The sequence below is a fragment of the Homo sapiens genome, chromosome 19, assembly GCF_000001405.40.
Source record: "Homo sapiens chromosome 19, GRCh38.p14 Primary Assembly".
In the NCBI taxonomy this organism is placed as follows: Eukaryota; Metazoa; Chordata; class Mammalia; order Primates; family Hominidae; genus Homo; species Homo sapiens.
The window spans coordinates 22,326,492-22,332,491 of NC_000019.10; the positions used below are offsets into that span (position 1 = coordinate 22,326,492).

Here is a 6,000-nt window from a genome sequence, read left to right on the forward strand (position 1 = left end):
TTGAGATTGTGACTCCTGTATTTAGACATAACATACAAGAGGTGTTGACTCTTGTACCTGGAACCAACACACGTGCCAAATTCTTTTCTTTTTTCTTTCTTTTTTTTTTTTTGAGACAGTCTTGCTGTGTCACCCAGGCTGGAGTGCAGTGGCATAATCTCTACTCATTGCAACCTCTGCCTCCCGGGTTCAAGAAATCCTCCTGCCTCAGCCTCTCGAGTAGCTGTGATTATAGGCACACGCCACCACAACCAGCTAATTTTTTGTATTTTTAGTAGAGATGGGGTTTCGTCATGTTGGTCAGGCTGGTCTCGAACTCCCGACCTCAGGTGATCCGCCTGCCTTGGCCTCCCAAAGTGCTGGGATTACAGGCATGAGCCACCACGCCCAGCAACTAAATTGTTAATCTCATTACTAGACCTTCCTGTAGGTGACAGTGTGACATATGCCCCTGCCCACCACCTGAGTGATTTTGAGTTTTCTGCCTGGGCTCAGTCAAATGTAAAATTGTGAGATATCTCTTGACTCAGTATCTAATTGATGTGACTATTCTGCTTTGTCTGTAACCACAGGTGACATTGTGACATATTTCTGGGCCTTGTACGCAGGTGATGTGACTCTCCTCTCTTGTCTTGGCGATGCCCCAGAGGGCACTGTGACACATTACTGGATCCTGCACCCCGGATATTTGGCTCTCCTACCTGTGCCCTGCCCACATGGGCCATTGAGACCTATTGCTGAGTCCCAAGACCCATGTGATGTAACTTACCTGCTAGAGCTCTTTCTATAAGGGGCATTTGACCTATCTCTGCCTATTATCCAGGTGACGTGACTCTTTTCTCCAACCTGGTCTCAGTCTACAGGAAAAATTGTGACATATCTCTGAGACTAGCTCCTAGCTGATGTGACTTTTCTCTTTTTCCTAGCTTCTGCCCACTGGGGAGATTGTAACATGCCCCTTGTCCCAGCACTATGTTGATATTTACTCTTGCCTTCACGCTGCAATCAAAGATATTGTGACATATTTCTGGGCCCAGCGCCAAAGTGATGTGAGTCTCCTGCCTGGATCCTGCCCATAAGGGGTATTTTGACATATCTTTGGACCCATCAATTCATTGATGGGACCTTGTCTCCTATGAGCTTTGCCCTGGACCATCTGCACAAAATAGAGAACGACTTATCACTGAGCCCAGCACACAGATAGTGTGACTCTCCTGCCAATTCCCTACCCTCAAAAATGATTGTGACATATTCCTGGAGAAGGACCCAGATGATGTGATTCTCCTGCCTGCTCCTTACCCACAAGTAAGATTGTGACATATATCTTTGCTCAGTTTACAGGTGTGACCATGACTTTTTTACCTCAAACCAGCCAATATGGGTAATACTATGGGTCTTCCCTTTGTTCGAAGGTAATAGAGGGTTACCACTTTGTTGCATATCATATAAAGATCTTGGGTGGTACAGAGAGTGTCAACACAAAGCCTGGCACACAGGTGAAATTGTGTTTTACATACACCCTGCCAACCATTTCATTCATCACATTCACACATAGACAAAGCCCACTGGTGAAGTTTTAAAACACACAGGAATGCAGCTTACAATTGGAATTAAGACTTTCATATGTGAAGATTTGGCCACACTTGGAATGGTAACTTATTTTTAAATCCACTCATAGGTGGGACTCTCCTATCTGGACTGAGCCAATAGGAGTGATGTTGACTGTCATATCTTTGCTTAGGGCCACAGGTACAATCATTGGTCCATACCAGCATGAATGCCTCAGAGTGAATGGTGACACTAACATACACTGTATAATGCCATCAGTTGGTACAGAAAATGTTTTCACAGGGCCCAGCAGACAGGTGAGATTGTGACCCTCATATGAACATCCAGCTGAAAGTAAAGATGGTCAACCACCCAGCTGAAAGTAAAGATGGTCAAGTAAAGATGTAAGTCATACATACATCAACACAGTGCACCATTGAGGTTCTAAATCTAACAACCAGAGGCAGTCAGAAGATTTTTTTTAAAAAAGGCTCTTATACATAAATGTGGTCCACAGGTGGGTTGGTGACTCTCAGACCAGGATTCAGCACACCAAGAAAACTGGGACTCCATTAAGTCAACACAACATGCAATAGGAATTGAGGCTATGACGCATAGATCTGGTTCACTGATGAGACGTGCCTCATGTAGTTGGACCCAACATTCAGGATGTGTTGACTGTCATATCTGAAACTGGGATATGTGCAGGATTGTTAATCTCATCCCTGGACCTTCCTGCAGGTGTGACTGACAACATGTGCCCAGCACCCAGCATAATTTGAAGTCTCCCACCTGGGCCCAGCTCACAGTTGAAATTGTGACATATCACTGAACTCAGAACATAGGTGATGTTATTCTACTCTTCTGCCGTGGCCCTGCCTACATGGAGCATTGTCACATGTTTCTAGGCCCCACACTCAGCACTCAGGTTATATGTCTATTCTGCCTGTGCCCAGCCCATGTGGATCATTGTGATATATTTTTGGGGCTGACATTTATGTTTTGTAAGCCTCCTGCCTGGGGTTTGCCAGTAGGGAGCATTTTGACATATCTATGTGCCAATCGTGCAGGTGATATGAACCTTTTCTACTGGCTGGTTTCTGCTCACAGGGAAGATTATGACCTATCAGTAGGCCAACAGGTAATTGGTGTAACTCTTAGTCTCAGGTTCTGCCTACAGGGGAGATTGTGACATATTGCTGGGCTCAGCAACAAGATGATTTGGGTCTTCTGCCTGGACCCTGCCTTGTAGGAGCATTGTGACATAACTCTGAGCCAATCACCTAGTTAATGTGAATTTTCTCTTCTCTTACCTGAACTGTGCCCATAGAATAGATTGTGGCATATCTCTAGGACCAGCGTCTAGGTGATATGACTCTCCTCTCTTACCTGACCATGCCCACAGAAGGAAGTTACTTATGACTGGGCCCAGCACACAGGTGACAGGGGTCATGGAGACCTATCTCTGGGCCCATCACCTGGATGATGTGACTCTTCTTTTCTTCATAGGGCCCGTCCATGTGAGGAATGTGACATATTGCTGGGCCCAGCATCTATGTGATGCATCACTTCTCTTGTGCCTTATCTCTTTCAACTGGAGTGATTGTGACATGAAGCCCCTAATTTATGTGACTCCTCTTTTCCATCTGAGCCCTACCCACAGGGGGCATTGCAACGTATTTTTGAGACCCTCCCCTAGGTGGTGTGACTCTCATGAGTGAGCCGTCCACTCAGTTGGTATTGTGACACATTTTTGCACACAGCACTGAGGTGATGTGACTCTCTTCTACTGCTTGGGCTCTGTCCAAGGAGGTATTGTGATATACCACTGGGTCCAGCACCTAGGTTATTTGACTTCCCTCTACTGCCTGGGCCCTGCATACATTGTGTATTGTGACATATGGCTGTGTCCAAAACATAGGGGATGCAACTCTCCTGCATTGGCTTTGCCCATAGAAGTATTAGAAAAGACTAATAAAAGAGAATAAAATATCTTAATTATTCATCTAGGTGATTTGACTCTTCTTTTGTGCCTGAGCACTGCACACAGCTGAGATTGTGACAGTGATATGCACACCCAGCCAACAGTATAGACTGTCATCATCCCACCTGAACACAGCCCACTCTTGAGGTTCTGAATCTCACACCCAAAGCCAGTCAAAAATAGTGAATTGACTCTATATGCAGATTTCATTCACATTTGGGTTTCTGACTCTCCAACCAACATTCAGCAAACCTGTGAGGCTGTCACTCTACTAAGAAGACAGTCCACAGGACAGATTGATGCTGTCATGCATGGATCCAGTACACCATTGAGATCATGACTCATGTACTTATACCCAACATGACATTTCACTGGGCCCAGCACCAAGCTGATGTCACTCCTCTATTATCCAGGTTCTCACTCTCACCTAGTTGACGTGACTGTCTTACCTGTGCTGTCTTGTCAAGGGATATGGTGACATATTACTGGACCCAGCACCTAGTTGATGTGACTTTTGCTGCTCCTAGGGCTCACAGTCCTAAAAAAGAATTGAGTTGTACTGCTGGGCCTAGCACCAAGGCGACAATACTGTTAGCTGTGTCTGCATATCAAAGTCATAATCTCACCTGTGTGCTGGCCCCTGTAATAAAACTCTGTACTGCCAGGGGGCATTATACAATATGAATAAGTTTCATAATCTGCCGTGACTTTCATACAGGTAGGAGACTCAGGACCCTACCAGTTTCCTTAAGCTCAGCTATAAGGGTCAACATGTATTTTATTGGCTGGGTCTAGTTATAAGAGTCATCATGGTGCCTGTGAGCTAACATCACGCCTGTGGCTGGATCTACATATGACAGTCAAAATTCCAGCTGTAGGCTGTGTCCATATACGAGACTCAGGACCTCACTAGAGGTCTCTGTTCATGTGTGAGAATGACACTCATAACTGTTGGCTGGATGAGCATACAAGAGTCACAGTCTCATCTGTGTACTGGGTGCACTTATATGTTAAAATCCCACTTGTGGAAAAGAAAGAAGCTAAGAGAGCCACGTATTTTAAGTGCTGGGCTAAAGATATGTTAAAATATCCCCTGTGGGCAGGGCCCAGGAAGGAGAGTTAAATTACCTGCATGCTGTGACCAGTGATATGTCACAATGCCTTCTATGGGCATGGCCCGGGCAGGAATTTCACATTACCTTTATGCTGTCCCAAAGATATATTTCAATCCCCCTCCATTGGCATGGCTTAGAGAGAATAGAAGAGTCACAGCACCTAAATTATGGCCACAGAGATAAATCACAATACCTCCTGTGGGCAGGGCCTAGGATAGAAGCTTACATCACCTGTAATCTGGGCTTGCTAAAATAATTCATCCTCCTGTTGCCATGACCCAGGCAGAAGAGGAGAATCATATCATCTAAGTACTTGGGCCTGTGGTATGTCACAGTCCATTTTCAAGGGGCAGAATGCAGGCAAAAGAAAAAAGTCACATCACCTAGGCAACGAGTTCAGAGGTATGTCACAATACCTACCGTGGGCAGGGCCCAGGCAGTACAGTCACATCACCGAGGTACTGGGCTCAGTGATATCTCACAAATGGCTTTCTGGGCAGGGCCCAAGCTAATGATAAGAGTCAGATGACCCAGTGATATTTCACAATACCCTCTGTGGGCAGGGCTCAAGCAAGAGAATCACATCACCTAGGTGCTTGACCCAGGTATATGTCACAATCTCCCCTGAGGGCTGTGCCCAGGCAGGAAAGTAAAATCACTCAGGGGTTATGCAGAAGTATATGTCACAATCACACTTGTGGGAAGGTCCAGGGATGAGATTCACAGTTCCACATATGTTCCAGCTTCAGGTGGGAAAGTCAACACCTCCCATGAGTTGCATCCAAATGCGTGAGTCACAATCTCAATGACGGACTAGATTCATGCATGAGACCCTCAATTTTACCGGTAGGCTGTGTACTGGTATCAGAGGCAAAGCCTCACAGGTATAATGAATCCTGGTCCTATAGTTACCGTCTACCTGGAGACAAAATCTACATGTAAGGATTATAATTCCAACTTTCAACTGTGTCCAGGTGTGAGATTCAGAAGCTCAAGAGTTGTCTGTATTCATGTGGGAGGATGACAATTTTTACTGTGGGCTGGAAGTGTATATGAGAATCACAATCTCAGCTGTGTTCTGGGTCCTCTTATGACACTCTCTGTACCACCAGAGGGCTGCACATTGTTTGGGTGAGACTCACAATCCCCTGTGAGACATTAGTGCTGTATAAATGCATGATTTTACTTGTTGCCCCACTCCCAGGTATGAGAGTCAACATTTCTCATATTGGCTGTGTCCAGGTATAAAAGTCATTGCTCTGCCTCTTAGTTGGGTTCAGATATGAGTCACCATCCCAGTGGTGGCTAGAGGTACACATGACATTAAAAACTCCAACTGTGGATTGCATCTGT

The 6,000-nt window shown here is 45.5% G+C and overlaps 1 long non-coding RNA gene across 1 annotated transcript; it reads right to left on the reverse strand.

Annotated features, from left to right (window-relative positions):
- Positions 1 to 1,868: 1,868 nt before the first annotated feature.
- On the reverse strand, positions 1,869 to 5,089 carry LOC105372330 (uncharacterized). Its single transcript, XR_001754094.2, has 3 exons — positions 4,879 to 5,089; positions 2,862 to 2,937; positions 1,869 to 2,241 (listed from the first exon to the last, which is right to left on the reverse strand). It is a non-coding gene; the product is annotated as an uncharacterized LOC105372330 (long non-coding RNA).
- Positions 5,090 to 6,000: the final 911 nt, after the last annotated feature.